The 27111-nt window shown below is 36.3% G+C and overlaps 1 protein-coding gene and 1 long non-coding RNA gene across 11 annotated transcripts in view; both read left to right on the forward strand.

Moving 5' to 3' along the window:
- The window catches only part of ARHGAP15 (Rho GTPase activating protein 15), a 638934-nt gene that overhangs the window by 454998 nt on the left and 156825 nt on the right, over positions 1-27111 (forward strand). The gene's annotated exons all lie outside the window — the stretch shown is intronic.
- LOC101928361 (uncharacterized) lies at positions 179-26742 on the forward strand. The gene is made up of 2 exons (XR_007087253.1): positions 179-22531; positions 23114-26742. It is a non-coding gene; the product is annotated as an uncharacterized LOC101928361 (long non-coding RNA).

The raw sequence follows: 27111 nt of genomic DNA on the forward strand, positions 1-27111 counted from the left end.
GGAGTTCGAGACCAGCCTGGCCAACATGGTGAAACCCTATCTCTACTAAAAATACAAAAATTAGCTGGGCGTGGTGGCAGGCACCTGTAATCCCAGCTACTAGGGAGGCTGAGACAAGAATTGCTTGAACCCCCAGGAGGCGGAGGTTGCAGTGATCCAAGATCATGCCACTGCACTCAAGTCTGGGCAACAGAACAAGACTCTGTCAAAAAACAACAACAACAACAACAACAATATAGAAATATAATACATATCTACAAAAGCCAATTGAAGTCAAACTGGAATTCTGCAAAGCAATCTTTATGAATGTGAGTAAGTTAGGTCATATTAGGTTGGTGCAAAAATAATTGCAGTTTGGCCATTATGTTTGCACCAACATAATACATCTTTTATTCTCAGTGCAAGATTTTTGATCTACATTTCTGAATAGCTTGGAAAATAAAGTATGGTCACATCAGAACCAGTGGCAGGTAAAATTTCTAATTATAAATTGGCTCAAATGATTTATATTTGACTTTGGAATGTCTTGCTAATATCTTCGTACATGTATTTTACTTTTTGCTGTTAAAACATTTTCTAAACATACTGATAAAGACTAGAGAGATGGATCAGAAACATACTGGGTGTTAAAAAATCATCCCGAGGTTTAAAATGTTCTTTCTAAATTTAGATAAACGCAAGATAAATCCCACAGGAAGTTCACAATTCCATAGATGTCTAAAACTAAAAGAATGCAGAGATTTTCTCAGCTCCATGCCGTTTCTTGTAATTGTATGTTGACTGAGTAGAGAGTTATAAAAACACCCCAGCCTGATTTTATGCAACTATATTGCTGTTTGTCAAAAGAATACTTAAAAACTTGTCAAAAGAATATTTACAAACTATATTTAAGAATATTTAAATAACTGCTATAAAATTTAAATAATACAAAAATATACAAAGAAAAATTACATCATCTAGTCATTTCATAAATAAACACATACATAAATATACACATAAATAAATATCTTAATATTTAGTGAACAACACCATTCTAGATGGCCCTATGTGTTGGTGTAGAGAGATTGATAGAGATGAATAGTCAGATAAAAATATGATTCTGCCACAGTGGTTATTCCTTAGCAAAAATGTTTTATGTTTAGTTCTACTTGAATTTTAAGAAGAAAAAGAAATTAAATGAACTTGAAAAATGACTGAACTTCAAATAAATGTTTATTTGACCCAAGAAATATTAGCTTCTGAAAGAAGTGTTTTTAATAAAAAGTGTTTTTATTTTAGACCAAATCTTTCTCATTGATGAGGAAATTAGTACAATTATTCTTCCTTCCAGATAGTCTTCCAAGTTATTTAGGATTTTATTATTGAAAATGTTATATTATTTACATTTATAAGTATATCCCCAATATTGTTTGGTCTTATTCTATGCTGCACAGGAAATATGTTCACCCCTTTGTTATTTTACCAAGTTTTCTCTGTAAGGGAAAGTGCCTTGCTGTAATTTTGTGTTTATTAGATTTAAGCATTCAGTTACTTTTCCAGAAAGAATCATGGTTAGGCTACTCTCTAGTTTCTGAATGTTTCACAGTGTCTGCAAATGGTCTTATACTGGAAGAGCATGTCACGGTATAAAATAATATATCTATATTTAAATTTCTCTAAATTTTGCACACTTTTTCATGTAGCACTCAGTGTTGCTGTGAAGTTCTCTGAGGTCATTCCTCCCACCACCACCCCCTTGGTTAGTATGATTTACCTGTGCTGCCTGGAACACCATATGGCTATATTTTTAATTCCTAAATTTTAATAGCTACACTAGGATTTGTTAGATTAATTGTTCTATGTCAAATTTTCCTGGGACTAAGTGTGTCACTTTAGTAAGGAAATTTAAGTCCTTCTGTATTTTCAAAACTTTTCTTCTATTACATCTTTAATTTTTTTTTCTGTGGCATTTGCTCTATTCTCTTCTTCAAGAGAACTAGTCCTATTTTTCTTGTGTACTGTAATCACTTTTATCAATATACTAAAACTATTCATAGACATATTTTATGTCTTTAATCTTTTTCTTTTCATTTTATATAATTTCTTCTAGTTTGTATACCATTCTGTGTTTTCAGTCATGCATATTTTATTTTGCTTCTACTTTGACATTTATAGGGATTTGTTAATTCCACTAATTTCCTGAGCTCTACCCACTGCTTTTCATCTTTTTGAATACTTATAGTTCTTTTTAAATACTCTTTCCATTGCATAATATGTAAATATTTTTTTTTTAACTATAGGTTAACTATTTGTCTGAATTCCACTGGTTTCTTGAATAATTCATCTTCTGATGTATAGCCCTTCTTCCTTTTTACTTGGGTCTAATTGATGATTTCATGCTGTTTCTGTAATTAGCTACTTTTTCTTGAAAAAGGCCATTTACTCAATTACTCTAATTCTTGATTAGGGCAATTTTACTCAATCTCAATCTCTCAATCTCTCAATCTCTCTCTCTCTCTTTCTCTCCTCCTCCATCCCTCTCCCTTTCCTCCCTCCAACACAGCTCTGTGTGTCAGAATCTAGAAATTTCTGTTTCCTCTTCCTCCTTCATGCAACTTCCTCTTTGGCACTGTTCCTATGTGATGATCCTGAGGAATGGACAATAAAATGATTTTGCCTTCAGTACCACCTCCCTTGACTTTCTGCAGCATGAAATTTCTAGGTCATTTCCTTACTCATAGGATACAGCCATTCCCATGTCCTGATACTCTAATCAGATTGTCAGATATTACTCTTGAAACTGTAACCCTTTAAAGGAAACCTCTTTCATCTGCCATTTTTGAAGTTTGTGTTGACTCTCAGATTCTTCCCTCATCTTGGTGCAGACTTCGATTTCTATTTTTACAGTATTTCACAGTACATATGACTGTGTATGGTTTGATGCTATGGCTATTTTTGTTTTACTAAAGATTGAAGGGTTGTATTGTTAGTGTGGTGGCTCTCTACTTTTCAGGGTTTGTTGTTTTGGGAATGTTTTGAAAGAAATTAGTTCTGATGCTTTTCACTAGAAATAATCTATGACCTGAGCTCTTGTGGACTCCTAAAGTTTGTGCCACTGTGTTTCGGTCTTACTTCAAACATTACTTTTAAAAAAAAGCCTCTTTCTATTGAATTATTTCAAACAAATCAAATATATTATGTTTCCTGAATACCCCTTGCTTTAGTTGGCTTTTCCCTTCCCATAATGAAGGATGAGGACCTTCCTTTCCTTTGTCTTCTGTCTTTCACAGTCGTTTCTGGAATACCAGCCCTTCTATCAGAACTGGATGGAGACCTGTGGACACCCCTAGTAAGCTGCAGATTTTTCACAGTGGTCATTTGACCTCCAGAGCAAGCCAATAATTTGTCACTTCATTAAACTGGTATTTATATTTATTAAGTTTTTTGAGATACAATCCCTAGTATTGAGTGATAGAAGAGCAGAAAAGAAGTCTACTGTTGTTAGCACCTCAACTAACTGAACCCATTAAATCAAAAGCCTTTCTCTTAACTGGACTCACCTTCCTTAGAAGACGATTTAACAATGTTTTCTTTCTGCTCAAGGATAATCATTTAGAATTTTAGCCCTCTTCCTTCTTTCCAAACAGCTTATCAAAGAAGGCTATGTAATTGTCCCCCTAACAGAAGTTCTAATAATATAAATTCCTCCCACTCATTAGATTTCAGTTATGTTTTACAATCCCTTTTGGACAGGAGCTCTGGGAAGCCAATGGCACCTGCTGTCTACCCCTCCATCTAACTTTCTTCCCTTTACTACATTCTGGAGAAGCCATCTCAGTTGCTCTAAGTACTTATGTATTTGCCTTTTCCTAATATTGGAGAAAATTTAAGCTTTCTATTTTTTTAATGGCATACTCCACTGCATCCCAATTTGCTTTTGTGAGTAGAAGAGACAGGTGTAAATTTTTCTTTTAATTTTTACTTTAAGTTCCAGGAGACATGTGCAGAACGTGAGGTTTGCTGCATAGGTATACATGTGCCATGGTGGTTTGCTGCATTTAATGACCTGTCCTCTAAGTTCCCTCCCCTTGCTCCCCACCCCTAACAAGCCCTGGTGGGTGTCGTTCCCTTCCCTGTGTCCATGTGTTCTCATTTCAACTCCCACTTACGAGTAAGAACATGCAGTGTTTGGTTTTCTCTTCCTGTGTTAGTTTGCTGAGGATGATGGCTTCCGGCTTCATCCATGTCCCTGCAAAGAACGTGATCTCATTCCTTTTTGCGGCTGCATAGTATCCCATGGAAATTTTTAGCTAGTTAAATTGACTTGTATACACTCTGGGCATGCCCACCAGGAATTCTCCCACAAATAAACATCCCCTGTACTGTGTTAAGCAATAAATGATTCTGGAACCTGTTCTTTTCTGCCCAGTTTAAACCCTCTGCTTTTTGGATTGGGCAAGTTTTCTATACTCTTTAATAAATTTGTTTTCATATTTGTTGTCAACCAGCTGACAGTTTCTCTGCCCTTTTTATAACCTACTTCCTGATTCAAGACATTGGGTCAAGACTTTTAAAAGGCCTTGACTTCCCTTTTGCTGATTCCTCTTCATTATTTCACCTATTAAACTAGGCATGAAAAAAACTCACCATTGGGCCCTCTTGCCTACCCACTACTCCCTCAGAAAACTTGCAGAGTTCAAGCATCACTTGCAATCAAATTATTCTCATACCTGCATTTCTAACCCTTAGTTTCCTCCTTTCAACATATCATTAGAAGTGTGATTTTCATTGCCTAAATATATACTTCCACTTAAGTAGTCACTGGTCACTGGAATGATAGAGAAATTTTATCTTTGCTCCAAGAGATCTACTTCTTCTCCATGTACTCTACTGCTTATAGAAATTGACTGCATTTCCTTTCCAAAGGTGACAAGTTTAAGTCATTTCTAATACCTGCTTTTTGTCTGTCTCAACCACAACTTTAATAGCATTTCTTGAACACAGGCATCACACTGTGGACTTTATTTATGTTATCTCATTTAGTAATCACAGAATACAAAGAAGTAGACATTATTATCTCAGTTGTTCTGGTAAGGAAACTGAGGCTTAGTGAGGTTAACTTACTCAAAGGCCCCATCTAGTTTGTGACAGAGCCAACATTCAAGTCTAGGGTTGATGGACTCTAAAGTCAATGTGCTCTTAGCCACTTTGCATATCATTGCCTTAAACCCATCCCTCTTTAGGTCTAGGGTAGGCTTCTTGAGTCTGCAGCTACTCTCTTTTCAACAAACATCAATCAAATGGCTATGATATCCCAGACCCAAGGTAACAATATAAAGATGGGTAGGATGAGGTTCCTGTTCAAAAGACTTTTGGAGCTAGGGAAAAACAGAAGCACTAAAGCTTGGAAGTAATTTTATCCATTAAACATAAAGTGAAACTGTTAAAAAATTAAAATTAAACTCATATAAATAGGTGAAATGTATTTTTTCAGGTATTTATTACTTTATGTGTGTAACTTAACAACTCAGCAAGACCGATTTTGGCAGAAAGGTGTGGCTTATATGATTCTAGAATATAGAATACAGTATGAAACAGGATACTTGACTTGCACAGAAAAATATCAGTGAAGATAGTAAGGATTAAAACTCATTTTGTATTTGCTCCATGAAGCAGTCACTGCTTTCTAGTGCCCTTGATTCACCTGAATGTCCATACCCCAGCTGTTTAGCTCATTTCCATGTGCATGCCCCATTTCTCCTTCTTGAGAGAAAACACCATCTTTTAAATATTTTCTTAATTTTTCACAATCTGTTTTCCAGAGTGGATGGCAATGCTAACAGGCAAAATTTCTGTTTCTCTTTAATTTCCAATTAAAAAGTAGCTCAGAAACACTTAGCATACACTTTTGCTCTGTTTTCTTCATAGTATTACAGCACAAAGCTACCTTGTTTAGTTGTCCTGTCTGTCTCTCTCCATGAGCAGAAGGATCTTGCAGTCTCACTCACCACTATATCCTCAAAGACTGACGCCATGATAGGAGTTTAATAACTGCTGTGTGAGTATAGGGATAAATGAAAAGATTTGGGACAACAGCCACTTTAGCCCTCACTCCTGTCCTCCAGGTCACTCCTCTCTTGACCACTGCATAAAGGACATCAGGCCTCAGCTGCCTGGCCCCTTCTTTTCCTCACCCCCAACCATCCATTCCTCCTGGGTATCTTTATGGAATCTAAGTGCTGATTAGAAATCCTTCCAGAATCGCCTTCTATAATGTTTCTGTTTTATTATCTTTATTTTTCTAGTAGACTACAAGATACTTGAAGGCAGGGTGTGTCTTTTATTTTGTCACTAACAGCATCTAGTATATTACTTGGGCCTTCACTAGATGTTGTTCCAGTGGATATTTGTTATTGAATGTTTTTTATTAATTGGCAAAAAATTAAGTTTGGATGTGTGCCATGTATAGCTGCACATTTTTTATCAAGTGGTGAGTATTCTTGTTGCCGCTGCTTCAAAGACTTAGTAATTAATACATGTATCTTTGCTCTCTCTCTCTCTCTTGATTCAGTACCTATTGCAGATGATAGCCTCATTTGAGAAACACAGATTTTCTTTTTATCATTTATTTCCTACCCAGGAGTTATTTCTTCATAAAAAATTAGTCATCCAATCCAGGTCCTAGTGAGAACTACATGAGTTTGGGATATCATGTGCATATAGGAGCTAAAAATATATATATTGTAAATTTCCAAAAGTATACATTTGGTGCTTAACTCACTATTCACAGTTACTTTATTATTTTTCCTACTAATCCTTTCCAACTAACTTCTATCCAGAGGATCCACTTCCCCAATCGATGTGATTTTGCTTTCTATTTTTCAGTAAAATTTTCAAAACATATGCATTAAATATAATATTAGATTGTGACAGTCAGACCATTCATTTCATTTCTAGGCACAAAACAACATTTGCTTAAAAATGTGGATCCTGGAATCACAGTGGTTTGGGGTAAATTCATGCCATGCTGTGCAAAAGTGGCACAGCCTTGAATTGGTTAAAATACTTCAGGGCTCTGCTTCCTCAACTATAAAATAAGACTAATAATACTTCCTAATTTATAAAGTTTTAATATGAAACCCAAGTGAAATAGATGACTATTATTATTGTTATTATTATGCAAGTGTTTCTGGGATAAGTTGGTTTTTTTTGTTTGTTCTTTTTTTTTTTTCTTTTTTTTTTTAGAGAAAGTCTTGCTCTTGTCCCCCAGGCTGGAGTGCAATGGCACGATCTCGGCTCACGCAACCTCCGCCTCTCAGGTTCAAGCGATTCTCCTGCCTCAGCCTCCTGAGTAGCTGGGATTACAGGTGCCTGCCGCCATGCCTGGCTAATTTTTGTATTTTTAGTAGAGACGGGGTTTCACCATGTTGGCCAGGCTGGTCTCGAACTCCTGACCTCAGGTGATCCGCCTGCCTCAGCCTCCCAAAGTGCTGGGATTAGAGGTGTGAGCCACTGCACCTGGCTGGGATAAGATTTTTATAACTCTATTTTGAGAAGGATTTTTGTCTGAAGAAACTCACTTTTATCACTTTATTTTGCCCAAATAAAGCACTATAGTCCATATCTCTGTTTCAAATATTATTTATTAAATTCAATGTTTCCTGGATAATATGCCCTTTCTGAATGACAGTCAAATGCCATTCAGTAATTCCCTCATTTTTTTCTGCCAATCCTAATATATCCTCATTTGTTTATAAACAATTCATTTTTAAAATTATACTCTCATATAATAAGTGAAGTGTCTTTATTTTGTTCAGATATTTATTACTTTATATGTGTTTAACTTCATAACTCAGCAAGAAATTATAGCATCATTTTGGAAAATCTCCAGTCAAACTCTGATCTTTGCCTATAATGTATCTGGTTTTATTTAACTGAAATGGGAGAATTGAATACTTTTAGGTTTTTCTGCTATTCTTAGTTGACTATTTGACTTTAGTTGTGTCGTTCTGTAAGAAACCTTGACAAGTTAAATTTATCCATACAGAAACCTATAGTTAGGAGACCTGTGAGATGACTATAATTTCCTTCCCATTAGTTTCAATGAATTCCATGCATGTGAAAGAGAATTGGAGAGTGGAGTCTGCAGCCCTGTGTTTCTCGTTGTGCAGGTATATTGAGGAGGGAGATATAGTCCAGGTCTCCTTAAGTTGTTCCTCTGCTGCACATTACCCTTAATCCTCCTTTGAGCAAATGCAGACTAGAGCAGCTATGCCAAGAAGAGAAGACTTAACTCTTTAAACACAAGGGGCCCTTGGACACTTAGCTTATGCTTCATACAAAACCTGTGAAATGGTTAATATAGAAATGTGAGTGTCATTTGTATTGTAGCCAATATGAACCAGAAGAATTGAGCTGTAGCCAGCATTTATTTAAGCATCATTTTTGCCATCTGGATTCTTTTGTGGGGAAAGAACCATTCGAAGGGAATTGCCTTTGGTTACAAAGGTGATTTGACTTTTCTCTCTATTTATATGTGCACCATCCCACTGGCACCGTTGTTCAAGGTTCCATAAAGAGACACTTTTGTTCTACTGCTGCTTGAGAGTTTAGGTAGCATAGGAGAGCCTGAAGAAGATGTGGGAAAGCGTATCAAACATTTTTGTGGACAAATTGGATTCATAAAGGACATTGGCCTGTATGTGGAAAAACCAACTAAATAATTTAATCCAGGTAAAAATTATGCAGCCATTCACTCACACAGGACTCATTGGCGTCTTCCCTAAAATACAAGTCACTTGATGTGGCAAATCATTTGTAGGTCAGTGTTCAAACCCAAATGCTTGTTGGACACCTACCTGTCAGCTGGTTTAGGTACTGATTCAATCCATTCCTTAGCAATGAACCTGTAAACAAAAAATGGCTATCACCCAGGAATCATAATTTCTAATTACCTTTGACCTGTGGCAAAGTACAATAATTTAAAGATGATAGTGAGCCTCTATTACACAAATGTTTTGAAGATTAAAACTTGAGAAGATTGGCATTCACATCTGGGAATTATAAATTTTATTTTGATGTTAGAAGAAAGGCTTTTACATGAGTATGATCTGATATATTTTATTGTTAGGTTTATAGGATTCAGAATCCGTGGTTATTTTATGATTATGTGATCAGGTAATTTTTATCTTATCTGAGAGCTCTTTCATAATACTGCATTAATTAAATCGCTCATCTGAATAAGGAGTTTAAATGGTACAGTGGGCAATGAAGTAAAATCTGTAGAATTCCCAGCCATAGCACATATTATTTTAAACTATATTAGAGATAAAACTATTTATTGAGTGCTAACTTCTGCAGAGCCTTATCTTAAATACCCCTAGAATATATAAAAGAAACACTCACAAGTAAAGGTCTTTTAAACCAACAATAAAGTAATAGATCAACAAATGCAAAATAATATAATCTGTGCAAAATATTTATGTGCCATTCACATACACGTTACAAAAATGATTGAAATGGAAATGAAAATTATTGGTATTCTAAGTATTCATCCCCTTATACTATTAATTGGAAACTGATATATTATTTAACTCTTAAGCAGAAATGTGTGATGTTTAAAAATAAACAGCAAATTATGAAGTCACAAGGTAAGTGTTAAAATACATATATATGTGTGTGCATGTGTGTGCGTGTGTAGATGTATTAATCTCATCATTAAAAGGAGGAAAAAAGAGCCTTTAAAGTTTCCATTATCCATTATGTCAGGTAGCAAATATCTTCTCAATGTAACTCCAGACATTAAATCTGTCGAGAGGAATGCTGTAAAATAAATGTCTGGGATACCTTCATAAACAAAAATCTTATTTCCATAATTCATACAGCTGGCTGGCATTTATTGGCACGTCAGGTGCAATGGGGACATTTCAGGAACATTAACATGTACAGCATCATTTGTCAACAAAGCAACAATGTAAGCAAATCGTTCAGAACTCATACAGATTTACAGCTTTCTCCGCCAGCTGCTAATTACGGTGTGCTCGGCCTATTTGGTATGGTCTTTTTATTGGAAAATGACAAAGGGGTTATAGTATCCCAGTTTGGAATATAGATGTGGCTTTTAGTAATAATATGAATGTAATATGACGATGTAGCTTGGAGTTGTGATCCAGTTTTCCTGGTCTTATAATTGATCAGCTTTGATTGATGAAGGACAAGAGAAATTCACAGCCTATTTTGTTTCTGATGTAACTAACCTCTAAAACAAAGGAAAAATAGGGGAAAAATTATCAAAGACCATGTCACAGCAGTTCTTAATGTTTTTCCCTATGGAACATGACACATAATATTTACCTCTCAAAGAAAATCTGATATGTTGATTGCTGGTGGAGCAAATGTTACAGGAGCCTGTACATTTCAGAATTCTACGTTGTACTTTGAACAATCAGAAAGGCCTTACACAAATATGCTTAAATAATGTTAAGGTTATGACAGAAGGTGACAAATGTCAGCAGCATCAAAGTTAACATCTATAATCACCCCCTGCTTACATTGTTCAGTTTTAGGAAAAGACACAACCGTACAAGCAAATGATGGAGTGTCAACTCTACCTTCAAATTCCCTGGATTGTGTCAAGGCATATTATAATCCATAAAATGAAGAGTGGTGCTGTCTTTGTGCCCATGATGTAAATCTGTATTTAGAGATGGTCCTTCTGTTTAACCAAAATGCAAAAAGCTAAATTGGTAAATACTTATTCGAACATTGTTTAGATTTATCCCATCCCAAACCTTATTAAAATCCATTAAATTCCAGAGTGAACCGATTTGACATTCAGCAAATCAGTTGCTGTCAGAGCAGCTGACTTGACCAGATATTAAAATATTTTCAACTTTGCTGGCATCAGATCCTCGGCCCTTCCTAGAGCTGATAATGTCAGGACAGCAATGGTTGACTGGATCCAAAATGCATTATACTAAATAAGTATCATTCTCATGTTCCAAAAATAAAGATTCTAACTCCAGAAATAGTTTGCAGATAGTGTCCTTCTATTTTACGTAATGCCCCGTGGAATCCTGTACCATCTTCGCTTACACATTTGTCATTATGTATTGTAATTGTTGGTTTCTTCCTCCTCCACTAGAATAGGATTCCTAAAATCAGCAAGTAAATTATGTTTAATTTTGTACCCTCAGAGCCTAGTACTACCTGGAATATAGTAGATGCCAAATTAAGACTAGTCAAAAGAATGAATAAATGTGTACATATTGGGGCAGCCCTGCATGAGATTGTGATGGAGGAGGAATTTGCTTTAATATCTTGCCCACTCATCCTTTCTTGAGGATACCGTCTCCTAAGTCCTCTGAGATGCATATTTCCCATATACTTTTTTCTTTGTCCCTTATTCTAAAACCTACTTGCAGAAGAGTATCTGAAACTCATAAACATTAAGATGTAAAATATAAACAATCTTCCAAAGTATTGTCTTTTCCAGGGGCATTTATATTCAAACCAAGATCCATCCCTTAAACTGAAATTGAAAATTAATTTGAGGGTATTAGACATTATTTTTTATGTAAAGAAACATTTTTACAGTGAAGGTACCATCTTGGTTTTCTTTAGTAGAAAGGCACTCACTCAACTTTTCCCCAAACCACCCTTGCTTGGTGCTAAATGGAGATGGTGTTGGTTCTATTCTCCAGGATTATGTGGCATGTAGATTCTACTAGGAATTGAAATGAAGACCTTAGAATGGAAATGTGGCCTAGCTAAGGAAGAATACTATGATTTTAATTTGCATTAACATGAAGTCCTTCTAGACTGAGTCAATATGAAGAGAACCATCTAGTGCATCAGAACAGAGCCTTTTCAACCCATATTATTGTCTTTGTGAAGCAAAACGTGCTGCTGGAATTAAAAACAAGCAAAAGGTTGTATTTTTTACTGTTCAAAGAATGCTAAAACTTTCAATGCATAACAACCCCAGAGAAACAGGGTTGATGGAATCAGAGAAGTTGGAGGACAGACACCTTAAATTTAAAATTGAATACTTGTGAAGAGTTGCAACTCATAGTCTGCCTTTAAAATATAGCTGGGCAAGGAGGTCTTGTGTCACCCTATATGATGATCACTTCAAATTGGTTTTAAATTTACAACAATTATTTGAATAAAAGCCACTATTTCCAAAGCCACCCATTTGCCTAAAATAATCTCTGAAAGTAAGTTATTTATATATATTTATTTATAAACTAGCATTTGTATTAACCCTTACCCAAATGGTTATCCTTACTTGTATTTAAAACCACTAAGTCAGTGCTTTAGAATAGTCTATGTTAATCTTTACAAATAATTCATGTTGCGCTAATTAATGATTCATACATACTTGAGAGAGAATGGATTGATGTTTACCTGTTCATTATGCAAAAAGTCTTCACAGAAAATATTTCCAAAATTCCAGGAACATTTTAAGTGTTTTTAATTATTTTAGAGGTATCTATGTATCTTCACAAAAGTAATATTCTAACTATAAATCCCTCATAACTAATCATTTATTCAGACCCTCTAAGGACCTTCACTAAGAACCATTTATTATCCTCAATAATACATAAGAATCCTATTTTAAATGATCTCAAAGTTGACTACAATTTGTATTTCTCACTAATTTAAACAGGCCTCTCCTATTCTTGTCCTCTTCCTACCCCTCCCTCAAGCTTCCCATGGTAATACATGGCTACTAACTGGATTGAAAGCATAAATGATATGAAGCAGAGTTTTGAGAATTTGTAATTCAGAAAATATGGCAAAATCTAGGAATTCTCATATTTTAATATCACTATTAGTTGATTTGCTTAAATGCAAAATATTATAATAAAGAAATAAAAATATAAAATTTGTATTTTATAAGAGCAATACTAAAATTACAATTTAGGATGCATAATATGTATATATTTAAGCCTATAGATCTCAATACAAATGCAACTGAATGTAGAAAGTCTACCTTTAATCCAGTTTATGAGGAAATGTCTTAACGTCACCTTTCTAGGAGAAAGCAAGAGACCAATCATGAGAACCATTTAGTCCAGCAATCTCTCAAGATGCCAGTCGCCAGCTTGATGGAGTGAGCATTTAATTAGCCTAGTAATTCCCTCCTATTGTTCCCTTCTCAACTCTAATTGAAGAGAGACCTTAATCTCAAAGGAGAAATATTTAACTTTTAAAAATGTCACAGAAAGGTGGAAAGTAACTGTTTTGTTAAGTAAATAGCATTTACTCACATGAGAAAATAACTTTTAAACAAATATTTTATGTTTGTTTCTTAAGGTCTGTAGTAAAACAAAAACAATTTCAAGCAAACAAACCTGAGAGCTCAATATCAACAGATTCTTTTGAAAAGGAATTATCAATTGCTGCTGCCATAACAAAACACTTAAGACTGGGTAATTTATAAAGAGCAGAAGTTTATTCCCTCACAGTTCTGGGATCTGGGAAGTCCAAGATCAAGATACTAGCATCTAGTGAGGGTCCTCTTGCCATGTACTCACCTGTCAGAAGGCAGAAGAACAAGAGAGAGTGGGCCTACTCCTGCAAACCCTTTTTGTAGTGGCATTAATCCATTCATGAGGGCAAAGCCTTTATGACCTAAACTCCTCCCCAAAGTCTCCACCTTCCAACACTGTTGCATTGAGGGTTGTTTCCAACAATGAATTTTACAGGACACATACAGACCATAGCAGTTATTATAAGGACATATTTCAAGAATAAGCTACATTATCCCAGCAGGAGTGTCTGAAATGCATGAAGTTAAGGCTAACAAAGAACATCTAAACTAATAGGTAAATCCAAAGAAACTCCATGAAACAAGGAAGTCTCATTTGTGTGGTGTAAAATAAAAGTCTAGATACGGATCAAATCTTGGTCAAAAATAGCATCAAATGTGGCTAAAGGAGTGATCAAAGTTAAAAACTTCAAATGCCTTTAGTATTTCTGGAAGTAAAGACTTCAGTTGTATTAAGTGAAATACACGTGTTAAAATTCCGAGGCCATCATGCTATGTTACACAGATGGTCACCATCCGCTGTAAGGTGGCTAAAGGGAAAGAGGTGAGTAGCTGGCTTGGGGTAGCCACCCAATAGGGCTAGCCACCCAATAGGTATATAGCCACATTATACCTTACCCCTTTACTATGCCTGGCCTGATCTACTGCAGCAATGAGCTGTTCACTCTTTTTGGGCTGGGCTCAGTAGTTCACACCTGTAATAGCAGCATTTTGGGAAGCTGAGGCGGGAGGGTCACTTGAAGCCAGGAGTTCAAGATCAGCCTGGACAGCAAAGCAAAACCCCCATCTCCGTAAAAACATGAAAAATAAAGAATTTTAATTATCCAGGCATGGTGTACGCCTTCAGTCCCAGCTACTCAGGAGGCTGAAGTGAGAGGATCACTTAAGTTCAGGAGTTTGAGGCTGCCATGAGCTATGATCGCACCACTGCACTCCATCCTCGGAGACAGCAAGACCTTATCTTAAAAAATAAGTTGGTTTTTTTTTTTTAAAAAAAACTAAGTTTTATTTTATTTTTTGAAGTTAGAAAGTATGCAACTTGTCTGTGGGAGACAAAAACTCTGAGAAATATATTAAACATTGGAAAGGAAGGGAGAGTAGGGGTACATTGTTCAGGGTTGCAAAGTGAAGTTGAGAGTCTTAAATAGAGGGAGGCCTATGTACTTTCTTAAAATCAAACCAACAGCAAATAGGAACACAAGCAATAGATTCTGGAAGAATTGTTTGCTATGGAGTAAATCATGTATTTGTCTATTCACCAAATGCTATATACCTAGATGCTTCTACAAGGAAGAACAAAAAACCATGTTAATGAACTCAGACATTTGAATAGTGTTGTTGCTGTCCATAGATGAGAGCTTTAATAGTGTTGTTGCTGTCCATAGATGAGAGCCTAAGCAGTTTTCCTACCAGCAAAGAATAATGTACCTTGAGAAAGATGTGTGAACATGTAAGTTCCTATTAATGCACATTTATCACAAAAATTAATCTGAGCATAAGCAATGGGCAATGTGAGTGTTGAGGATCGCTTGAAATCAGGAGTTCGAGACCAGCCTGAGTAGCAAAGCAAGACCCCTACCCCCGCCATCTACACAGAAAAAAAAATTAATGGTAACTAAAACACAACGAAAATATTGTCAATCAGAAACAAATAATACATGAGAAAGAAACGAAGCCATAACTACCAAAACCAGAAATGTATGTCTCAGAGACCAGAAAACACTTTTGATCCAAAATTAAATATCCAATATTTTCACACAGTTAGAATTCATCTTATATTTCTAGTCTAATCTATGCTTGACGCTTTCCATTGCTACTGGGTGACACGGATCACTTTTCTCTAATTTTGTTTTCAGTTTTGCTATTTCTTATATTGTGTATCTGCCTCCATGAGTTTTAAATGGCTAAATTATTTGCTTAGAATTCAGGTGTTTTTCTTAACAGATTATTTCTAGCTGAAGCTGTTTCTGTCACATATTGTTGAATTCCAAATGCCCCCCTAAAACATAACCATAAAAGTAATTTCTTTCCTATCCTCATCAACACTTCAGATAGTTAATAGCTGCGGGCACATGTTATAAAAGAAGTTGCTGAAGAAGGGAACTTGAAGTGAATTTGGCATAGAGTCATGGATGGTACTAAACACATGGATGAAGTTATTTACTTAAAATTTTTCTTGTCGGCCTGATTTGGCTATATTTTCAAAATTGACACATACTATGCTGTAGACTTCTATTTTCACTAGCTGAGAAACAGAATGATTACAGACTTTTGCATGTTATGCATTTTTAAATATCACCAAGTTAAACTTAGATTTTGATTCCGTGCCCAGGACCAAGTGGAAAAAAATCTCCATCTTCAATAGTTCCTATTATCTTTTAGTCACAGGGCCACATACTGTATTTCTTCCATGAGTAAAACTCCCACTTGGAATTCCAAGCATTGCATAACTAGTGGAGTATTCATATCATATATAACTCAGTAGGCCTTCATATCCTAATCAGCTATTTCATCTGCACAATATTCTTCTTAGCAGTTAAAAATCTTAAAATCATAGTTCAGAATGGAGCCAACATTTAATTCAGCCAACAAATATTTATTAAACACCTACTTCTACTACTGGTGTTACAACCATGACTACTACTTTACATAGTTTTGTATTGCTTTAAATTGTTTTTACAAACCTCATCTCATTTACTACAGTGAAATTACCTACTGCTTTGAAGGAGCTTAGAGACTCATAAAGTAGATTAAATCAATTGTCAGAAAAACTGGGCTTTAAAGAACTTGTCTACGATGGTACCGGCTACTGTAGTATTTTAGATGATTTTGGTGAACTCTCAGTTGATTTTAGGTAAAAGATTCATCTGCACAAATGTATATTTATCTTTCATTGTATTTTTTATTACAATCTAATATTTTTTAAAAGCTAAGAAAATGCAATGAAAATAACATTTTAAAAAGTGTCAGCTATATGAATGATATTCTTTAATGCATGTCACATTTAAAATATGACCTATTTTTAAAGTACATTGTATATGTCACAAGCCAGATTTGGTCACAGGCCATGGTTTGCTAATCTCTGTCCTAAAGCAATATGGTAGTTCTGAACGTTTGGCTGAAGAACATGGATGGCGGTAGAAGTCCCTAAACTGGTCTTCATAGCTTAGAATAACAGAACTGCTGAGTTTGAAGGAAACCGAACAACTTATCTCACTTACTCTCCAAACACTGTTCAATTTCTCTTCATACTTTTTTTTACAATGTGGTAGTCTCTATATTTATATTTGATTCAAAATATAATGTTTTAAAACGGCCTGTACTGATGTCTCTTCAAAATCTTTATCTTGCTTAATCTTAGAAACTTTCTTGCCAAGGAGTGTAGGAGTAGACATGATAGCAAGGGAAAGGTAATAGAATAAATTTTGAAAGCTAAATGCTTTATTTTGATATAGCTAATATTCATAGACCTTAACATTTACATTAGTCAGCAATCAACCAAAAGTCATAGTTTCAAATACACGAGGGCAGAATCTGCCTAGCTACACAGGATTTGACCACTTAAAAGTTGAGCTCTATGATTATTCTGATGAAGTGGATTGGAGACCATCACCTTTCTCTTAGTAAATATTTGTCCTTCACATACCAATCGTAAGTATAATTAAGCATTTTTTACTTCATCTGGTGCTTCAAATTTTGTATGATGCAGGATTTAGTTTTCTATTCTAATTCCTAAAAGCCATATTTCAGGCTGCATTCTATTAGGGGTGTCTCACTTAAAATAAGAATACTATTATGTAGCTTAACTTGCATCTATTTCCTTTTTATTATGGCCACTCAATTGTTCCTGACTTTCTTTGGGAATGATTTGTTAATTTTATTCCAGTCTCAGCTATGTGCCTTCACTTAACAATGAACATTGACTACTGGATACTTAGCTTACCTTTTTTACAAGATATATATTTCAAGGTTTTGTTTTCATATAACATAAAACAGTAAGGCATTCATTAATCACTATTAAATTCATTCTTTTCCTCTTTATTGAATTCTAAAGGAAAATCAGCTAGTCTTTTTTTTGGCATGTGTCAGCAAAAGTATGTTATTATGAGGTGTTCTTAAATAATATATCTTCATAAAACAATATAGGTGGAGGTTTAAGGAGAAATAAGGAAAGAAATTGGAACCATCTGGATATCCAAAGTAGAGAAAAGTTTTTACTAATGGTTGTCATGTACACGTTACAAAAATAACATTATACAGCTTTCTAACTGGACAGGAAAAGGCAGAACTATCAAAAAGTTGAAAAAGAAGATAGCCCTGGAGTGAAGCAATTGACAAATAAAATCATTTATAAGACATGCATTTAGAAGAAAAGTGGAGATTCATGGTTCTTGGGTCAGTAAGGATTAAACATATCTCAGAGATGACCTGCTTGTTCCTGGGAATCGAAATACAGTTGCATTCCAAAAAGGATGGCTCCCTGGGAAATGCAAGGAGGGGAGGACAGGAGGGAACAGATTTTTGTTGTTGTTGTTTTTGTTTGTTTGCTTGTTTTCAGGGATGAGTGGGAAAGCACCTTCTATGTACTTGCTCCTAAATCAGCCTGGTGAACTGGGAAGAGTAGAGATTCCATGAAAGAAAAGAATGTGAATACATGCTTTGGAGATAAGACAGAAAATGGGAGAAAAAGCAAAGAAGGAAAGAAGGAAGGGAGGGAGGAAGAAAAGAGAGATTCTCCAGAGACACACTGCACTCCCTCACATGTAAATGTTATATTAAAGAAGCAATATCACTGGAAATTCACTTCATCAGATATTTAAGTATTAATACATAAATTAGAAATCAATTTTAGGAGTGTTATTCCTCCAATACAAACATTTTTTTCTGGCTTTTCATCTCCTTGTCATATTCCCAGCAAATAACCACACAGACGGGGTGTGTGTCTCTCCTTAAATGAGATTAGTGAAGGTGGCCCGATCAATTATTTTTAAGCCTGACCAAATAGGCGTACTCTAATCTTGCCTATTTCAGCATAATGTTGCCCAGCATGATAAAATACTTATTTAAACAGGTGTATCAGTCTCAGAGATCTGTATGTATAGTTTACCTTGAAGTCAATTGAAAACAGAATATTCCTTATTGATTTTGCCTGCCTGGCTGCTATATGTAGTCAATGGGACTCACGTGGATGTAAATAGAGTGAATCAACTCCTTGCTGGCCCTGGACCTCCTTGAGTCATGTGAAGTAGGTTTCTGATTCCTTTATGTTCAGGCACAGCCAGGGAGACAAGAGTACTACTGTCTTCTGCTGGTGCAGAGAGTTACCTCAGGCTATGCAGGAAAAATCCTTTTTTCTTATTTTTAGACCTGAATCAGTCTATGCCACTAAATGTATTCTTGTGAATACAGATGCACTTTGTTGTCATGCTCGTGGGAAGGCAATGGAGTAACCTGTTTGGACGCAGCTGCAGGCCACCTGTAGAGAAAGTCAAATTAGGGAGAGACCCCACTGTTCTTTGCATTAATGCTTTTTGTATTGTTGTTTGACTTTTCCCCCTCTGTCGATGTATCTTTTTCAACTAGGGAGATCGGGAGCACATTTTAAGGCCTTCTGTCCCTTTAAGGCATCTAATGATTGAAAGGACTCTAAGATTTGAAAGGCTGTAAAAACTCCCCAGTTGGCAATGAATGATGGCAATACAAAGAATCTTAAAGCTGTTGAAGTTGAAGTAGTCTTCTTACAGATTTAGTTTGTTTGGTGAACTTCCAGCGGCAGCTCTTACAAGGTACTGTTCAAATATTCCCACCTATCTGTGCTGCTGCTCCTTCTAAAGATTTATCATGTTCTCAGTGGAAAAGTAGTTATCCATATTAGCAGTTAACTTTACTACAGATAAGAAACAAAAGAAATTCTAAAAGAAGAAGAATAAACTCCTCTTCTTCCTTTCCTCATCTACCAATGTGAAGCTCTAAAAAAGAAGCCCATAAATGAAATATCTACTTTAGCCATAAATATTAAGGGAGGGAAATGCACAAATAAAACTTGTTTCTGGAAAGCTTGATTTTGGCTGAATATCAAAAACCATTTCCTGACAATGAAATCCATTAGACTACGAAATAATCTCTCAAAGTAGTGGTTGCATTGCTTATAAGATTTAACATTTAAGGTTAGGCTGAAGACAGCCACAGATCCTCAGGCTCAAATGCAGAATGTTATTTCAGAAGTTGGAGGGACCTACTCTTTTGATCCTAGCTGTTTCTCTTGTTTTGGGTTCCTTTACTTGGAAATTCAGGTTATAATATAGGGTTTTATATTAATTTTTTGGTGTCCTCCACCATGGATCCTTGAGAGCTGTTTCAGCTGACTGGGATCGAATCACATGAACCAGCCTGACTGTGTTTGTGTGTGTGCACTGTTCTTCACGCATCTGAAGCAGAGGAGTCGTCACAATTATTCTAAATGCAGTTAGAGGATTCTGTCTGCCTCAGCTTTACAATGTTTATCAAGCTCCTGTATTAACTCAGTAACACAACCTGCCATTACAAAATTCAAACTTTTGATAACCAGCATTTCACCAATATGAATTTATTTATACAAGATGCCCTTTCAGAGAACATATTATATCTAGGTAGTGACTGAGAGGTTCCCTAATCAATTCTTCAAGATGCAGCTTCAGTACCTTAGTCCTGAGGACCATGACTAAATTCATTTGATACATGTATGTTATATATTCCACTAAAATCAAAGAAGATATGATAGAATTTGTTGCAACTAAATAGTGGCACTCAGACAACTTTAATTCTCAAATTCTTGGCACGCATCCTGAAAACTCGACTCTGCGCTTTCTCCTAAATGCTCTGCTCTCTTTTGCTTTATTGTAGTGAAGAAAAGAGAAAAGTAATGATAATACCGTGCATAGCATAATATTTTACAGGGTTTTTTTGTTTTGTTTTGTTTTGTTTTTGTTTTTGTTTTTTGAGACAGTCTCACTCTGTCGCTCAGGCTGGAGGGCAATAGAGCAATCTCAGCTCACTGCAACCTCCACCTCCCAGGTTCAAGTGATTCTCATGCCTCAGCCTCCTGAGTAGCTAGGATTACAGATATGCACCACCATGCCTGGCTAAGTTTTGTATTTTTAGTAGAGACGGGATTTTACCATGTTGGCCAGGTGGGTCTTGAACTCCTGCTTTGGCCTCCCAAAGTGCTGGGATTACAGATATGAGCCACTGCACCCAGCCATACTTTGCATTTTTACAGCTTGTTTTCACCTATATTTTTTGACTAAATGCTCACAACAGCCCAGCAACTGAGGCTGAGATTAAGTGATAAGATTCAGGACTTGAAGGATGGAGCTCTGACTCTAAGCTCTTTGCTCTGTCCACCTCAGCGCCATAGCTGAATTCTCATATGAAGAACATTTTTCATGTGGTATTCTATTCTGCTGGGACTGACACATAATTAGCACCTTAAACTATATATCCAGGTAAAGAATTAGTCCTGTGTCAGAAACAAGGCATTTCCAGAAGCATAAAGTATAGCACCTCACAACAAGGTAGTTGGAACCCAGGGTCAAAAACAAGACAGATACCCCAGGGGAAAAAACCATGTCCCTAGCTAATATCCCTAGCAAATGATCCCTAGCTAATCATGATGCCAAGGTATGCTGCCTCAGGAATCAGATTCGCGGCATTTAAAGTAAGAAATTTTTGACTTCCAATGTAGGGAGACAGAACTGATGGGCCACAGGGAGCCAATTGAAACCTACCTTAAAAGCATTCACCTCCAGGCATGGTGGCTCATGCCTGTAATCCCAGCACTTTGGGAGGCAGAGGCAGGCGAATTGCCTGAGCTCAGGAGTTCGCGAACAGCCTGGCCAACACGGTGAAACCCTGTCTCTACTAAAATACAAAAAAAAAAAAAAAAAAAAAAAAAAAATTAGCCAGGCATAGCGGCGTTTGCCTGTAGTTCCAGCTACTTGGGAAGCTGAGGCAGGAGAATTGCTTGAAACTGGCAGGCAGGGGTTGCAGTGAGCGGAGATGGTGCCACTGCACTCCAACCTGGGCGCCAGAGCAAGACTCTGTCTCAAAAAAAAAAAAAAAAAAAAAAAAAAAAAAAAAAAGCCATACATCTGTCTCTTTCGCTACCTGTGTTTTGAAGTTGAAATGATTTTATACTACTTTTATCCTTGGATGCTTTCTTCATAGCTTAACACAGGTATTGTTTACCAATTAAAATGGGAAGCTGGTTTAAATATCAGCAATCATGCTACAACAGCACAATTGAAGGAGTATTTGACTCAAAGCCTTGGCTCTCCTATTCACAAATTTTGAGTGGTTATTTCATTGAACTTCCATTTACTATCTTCTAAAATGTGGAGAATATGAACTAATAACTTTTCCCCAGATTGTTGTGATTCTTAAGTGGGATAGCGAATGTGAGTGCTTTGTTATCTGTAATGCACTATATCAATATTATTGTTATATTTTGCTTCAATATATTTATTAGCTTGCTAAAATAACTTCCTAAGTTATCTAGCTAATCGCCTTTTTAACACCCCAGTCTGATCTCTGCGTGCACTCAGCTCATATCAGAGTAGTTAAAAGTAAAATGGGAAAACGTGAGCAATGTATAACAATCCTTATTTCAACCACTGTATATAGACAACTCCTATTTTTTGTCAGCTGGTATATGAGACATCCACATGCAACCATAAAGCCTGTGTTGTAAAGAAGTTTTTAATGCCAGAAATCCCATATGGTTTTGATGTAACTAAAAGGTGTACACTTTCCTCAAGGTCAAGTCTAAAAATTGGACCACTACAGGCTCTGACCACATGTATGAGAAGCCAAAGGACCTGTGATCTCACCTGCCTCAATCATGTGCCATTATTTACTCCACTTGCCTCTTCTGAATGGGTATGATCCCAACCAAACATAGTGAAGGGGAAAGTTAAACAATATTTGGAAAGCCATGTATTTGGAAAGCCAATGTAAAAGGTACATTATATTACATTTGATATAATGCAACAGTAATTATAACTATATATGCAATTCGTATCTACATAAGCCATGATAGTGGAGGATTTCTTGAAATTACTTTCTTTTCCCCCAGTGAAATGTCAGTTGTTTTTAGTTTTAAGTTTTGCAAAATTTGGAACCTGGTTTTCTTACACACTGTAAATAATTACTGCAGATACATTTCAGTCACGCTGCTCTAACTTGGGAGAAGAATCAGCACCAAAATTCTATGATGTTTCAGGTGGGGCAGAGTGTGAGAAGACAACTCAAAAAGAGGCTGGAGAGTCTTACTTAGCAGAAACCTCAGCTCTCACTTCTTTTATGGCTGTATTTCATAACACTTATCTTTTGACTTAGAACATTTGCCAGGAAAACTTTGATTCTTAGGGCAAATAACCCTGATAATTTAGAACTTAGAGATGTCTTATGAGTTTGCAAACATCAATGCATTATCAAAAGCCCTGTGAATTATTAGCCATTTAAATACCAGCTACCTATTTTTTTCTGATTACTGTTTCATTTTAATTGCTCCCATTTCCTGTCCTGACCTTAATGTTTCAGTGAAAAGAAGGCCACCCACGAGAGAGAGAGAGAGAGAGAGAGAGACAGAGAGAGAGATCTTTCATTTGTGAATTGCAAAGCTTCAGAGGTCCGAATTTGGCCAGTATGTTTGCTGCAAAGCCTTGGAATGCTGTTTTGCAGTTTCAAAAGTGATCATACTCAGCTTCCCAGAATTTTTTATGCCTGGAGGATGCCACAAGAACAAGGGCAGCCTTGTTAACAAGTTCCAATCTCTCAAAAACAAGATAGGATTCGGATATAAATCATCATTTCAGCTCACAAAGCCATGTTCTCCACCCCACTGAAGGGCTTCATTTACATCTAAAATGGTTAATACTGATCTGCACCAGAACTCCTAAGTGGAGGAATGCAGCTGCCATGTGCTTAGTGACTCTGGGGTTAGGGAAGAATGACATCACCAAATGTAAGCATATTATCATGCTGACATAGAGGCACCTTGTTTTCTCCTCTGTGGATAGAGCAAGGATTGTGTTCTGTCTCTTGTTTTTTTCCGCTCGAAGAATACCTTTCCCCCTCCCTTCTTAGCAGCTGCAATATGAAGGGCTGAAAATGTCACTTCAACTAATGATGAATGATGCTTGACCTCTGGATGGGTTACTCAGAATTTTATGCAATTCTAAATTAATATGAAAGATCCCAACTCAAAGGACTTCGGCCGTTAAGATTTGCTTCAAGGATAGATTTGTGTAAAGCAGTTAGTAGCTTTGGGGATTTTGTTGCTGTTGTTATTGTACTTGGTGGGGGACTGGGAGACTCGTGCTCTGTAAGCAAGGTAAAAGGCAGAATGTGCTAACATTTTTATGTGTTATTTTTTTCCTGTGAGATTAATATCTTTTTCTACTAGAAATATTGTCAGTAAGCAGAACCAGTTTGTGAAAAAAACATTCTCAAAAGGGCACAGGCCCACACGTCTTTGTTGTTTTTATTTGAATATAATTAATTATGTAAAGCAATAGTTAGTGTAAGATTAACAATTAGTAGATTCTGTCAAGTAGTCACACGGAAATTACTAACTAATTGAACTACTGGTCGTCTATTGTGTCAGAAAGCAGTACTGAGTGTCATTCTTTTTATCTTTTTACTTTGTTGTTTTCACAGATCCTCTTGTTTCTAAGATGTATGTTTCACAGCCGACTAATAAATAAATAACCCTGGTTGTAATTTCATAACATGCAAAAAGGTTTGAAATAAAAACACCTGTTTTAATTAGCATTATGGTTTGTTCACTTTAAAAAAAGTGATAATCCTGATGCAGTTAGCTGACATTTTTAAAGCTTTGAATTTCCATCTGTATCTTATATTATGATGTTTCAGGATTGTCATGAGTTAATTATGTTAACTTGGGAAGCATTGCTTGCATTTAGAATGAAAAACTTCAGCTTGAATAGACAGAAAAGCAGATGCTATCTTTCTTGTCAATTGCTTTGTTGTGGGCTGCCTTGCAAGTTTTCATGTATTTCTGGATCTAAAAGGAAGTGTAAATCTCTATTTATTTTAAGTTTAACATAAACTACACAATTTCAGTATTCTTCTGTTTTGGCTGTATGTGTCTTGTGTATCTTTACATGTGTAGCTTTCCTGCCCCCAAATTCAGAAATCCACAGTCAAATTATCTCTTCTTTAATTCTTAATTTGTTTTGTTGTGCCTAGGCATTATGGAGATTAGTACATAATAAAATTTAAGAATAGGACAACTCTACTGGCTCAATTCTCTCTCTAGTTATTTTTTTCTACCACCTTTTTGCTTTTGTACATCAACCTTTTAAATGGTACAAAATACATGCAGCATCTGGGCACAACAAGGCATGTTAAGAATGGAGTAGGCACTCTAAGTAGGAATTTCCATGCTTTTGTGAGTTTAATGTTCCTTTAACATAGAGAGCAGCTGTGTTTATGTCAATAATTACACATTGGGATAAATGCGTGTACATGTTTTTCTTTATGGGATTAAGGATGTTAGGTATGGCCTTACACAAAAGATTCTTGTCCCTCCCATACCCACCCAAAAAGTTTCTATAAAATTCAAAACCAAGTTACACTGTTCTGAGATTCTGAAATATTTCTCTAGGCATTTGCACTTCTAGATTTCAACTGACAGAATATGGGATTGATGTGTTTGTAATCTTCTCTTTGCCCCCCCACCTCATACCCATTCTCCACTCTTCACTACCCTGTTCGGTACCCAGGATCTGTATGCACTCGCCTTCCAACAGGCTTCCAACTAGATTGGGCCAACGAGAGGCATCTGCAGCAGAACAGAGGGCAGGAGACAATGCAAGAATGCCAGGACTGTGAATGCTTAATCCCTGAATTGGTGCCATGAGCAATAAATGCTCGTGCTCAAAAGAAAGTGAGATCAAGGAAAAGTGGATCACTCTAGGCAGAACTTCTGGGATAAACAATCTTCCTTTGGGCTTTAAAGAAGTGGTGGGATTGGGCCATAGGAGGTGGGTGGGTATGATAGCTTAGGTCAAGAATGAGCAAGAACCACAGTATGGTTCTTGCTTGGGAATATCGAGTATACTAGTATAATGGGCCCAGATGCTCAGGTCTGAATGAGGTCAAATTTTAAGACTGAATGGCAGGTTGTGGCCTGGAAAAAGAGGCCTCGAATGATGGAATTAGAAAACTTAGTGTTTAAAATGTATGGTGAAGGTGTGTTCAGTATATAAATCCAATCTGTAAGTGATATGGAAAGTGGAAGTTTATTCAATGCCTTATCACATATTCAAATGAACGTATGGCTGCTCTACCACTTAAAAATAGCTCTGTTCATTAAAGGAAATGTAACCTAGATTTTCAGAAAATTAAAATACAATGTTCTTAAGTCAGTTTAAACTTTAACTGAGATTCATAGTTTGGTTCTGCCTTCCTAAGCATTTGGACTAAGGCAGAGAGTATAAATCTGATGGGTCATCTTCCTGACCAATCGACTTTCCATTTTGATTGCAAACAATCCACTTGTTTATTTAGATACAACCACTGAACCAAGTCATTTAGACACAAACATTGAACAACAACCCATGTGTTTCATTCCTCTCAACTTTAGGTGTATTTTGCCTCATAAAATGTACGGCATTGTAATTGTTATTAATTAGCTACACATCAAAGAGCTTGGGTTAGCAGTGGGCCATGATGGCCTGAATCACAAAGTGTGACTTGTTCAGTGTATTTATTTATTTATTTATTTATTTATTTGAGACAGTCTCACTCTGTCACCCAGGGTACAGTGCAGTGGTGTGATCTCGGCTCACTGCAGCCTCTGCCTCCTGGATTCAAGCAATTCTCCTGTTTCAGCCTCCCGAGTAGCTGGGACTACAGGCACGCACCATCATGTCCGGCTAATTTTTGTATTTTTAGTAGAGACGGGGTTTTGCCATGTTGTCCAGGCTGGTCTCGAACTCCTCACCTCAAGTGATCCAACCACCTTGGCCTCCCAAAGTTCTAGGATTACAGGCGTGAGCCACTGCACCTGGCCTTTTACAGTGTATGTAAGACTAACACTACTCCTCTAGAAACAAGGCTGTATACCGTAATGGAATTTACCTTCCCAACCAAGCTGATTTGTTTAGATGCTGATCATTGGAAATAAATTATTAATCCAGGAACTCATGTTGTTTGTTAGTTTTTTTAATGTAATGGTTTGAAGCAGGCTGCTTATGAGCCTCGTGTAAAAATGATTCTGTTATTAGTTCCAGGGCATAAACTTGAATGACACTTTTTCCCTTCTTGCTCTATATGTTGCTATACAACTGTTTTCATCCCTTATTGTTTTAGGTGGTTTTGCAAAATAATTTGTGAGATAAATCAGGGTTGGAATGTTAGCCTTGACACTAACTTCTTGTATGAATTCGAGCAAGTTATTTAATTTCTCTGGTCCTTAGTTCCTCACTTATAAAATCCGTGAATACTACCTTGCTTTGTTACTATGAAAATGACATAAGATCATGCAGATAAAGTACCAAGCACAGCGGCTG

Source organism: Homo sapiens, chromosome 2 (genome assembly GCF_000001405.40).
Source record: "Homo sapiens chromosome 2, GRCh38.p14 Primary Assembly".
In the NCBI taxonomy this organism is placed as follows: Eukaryota; Metazoa; Chordata; class Mammalia; order Primates; family Hominidae; genus Homo; species Homo sapiens.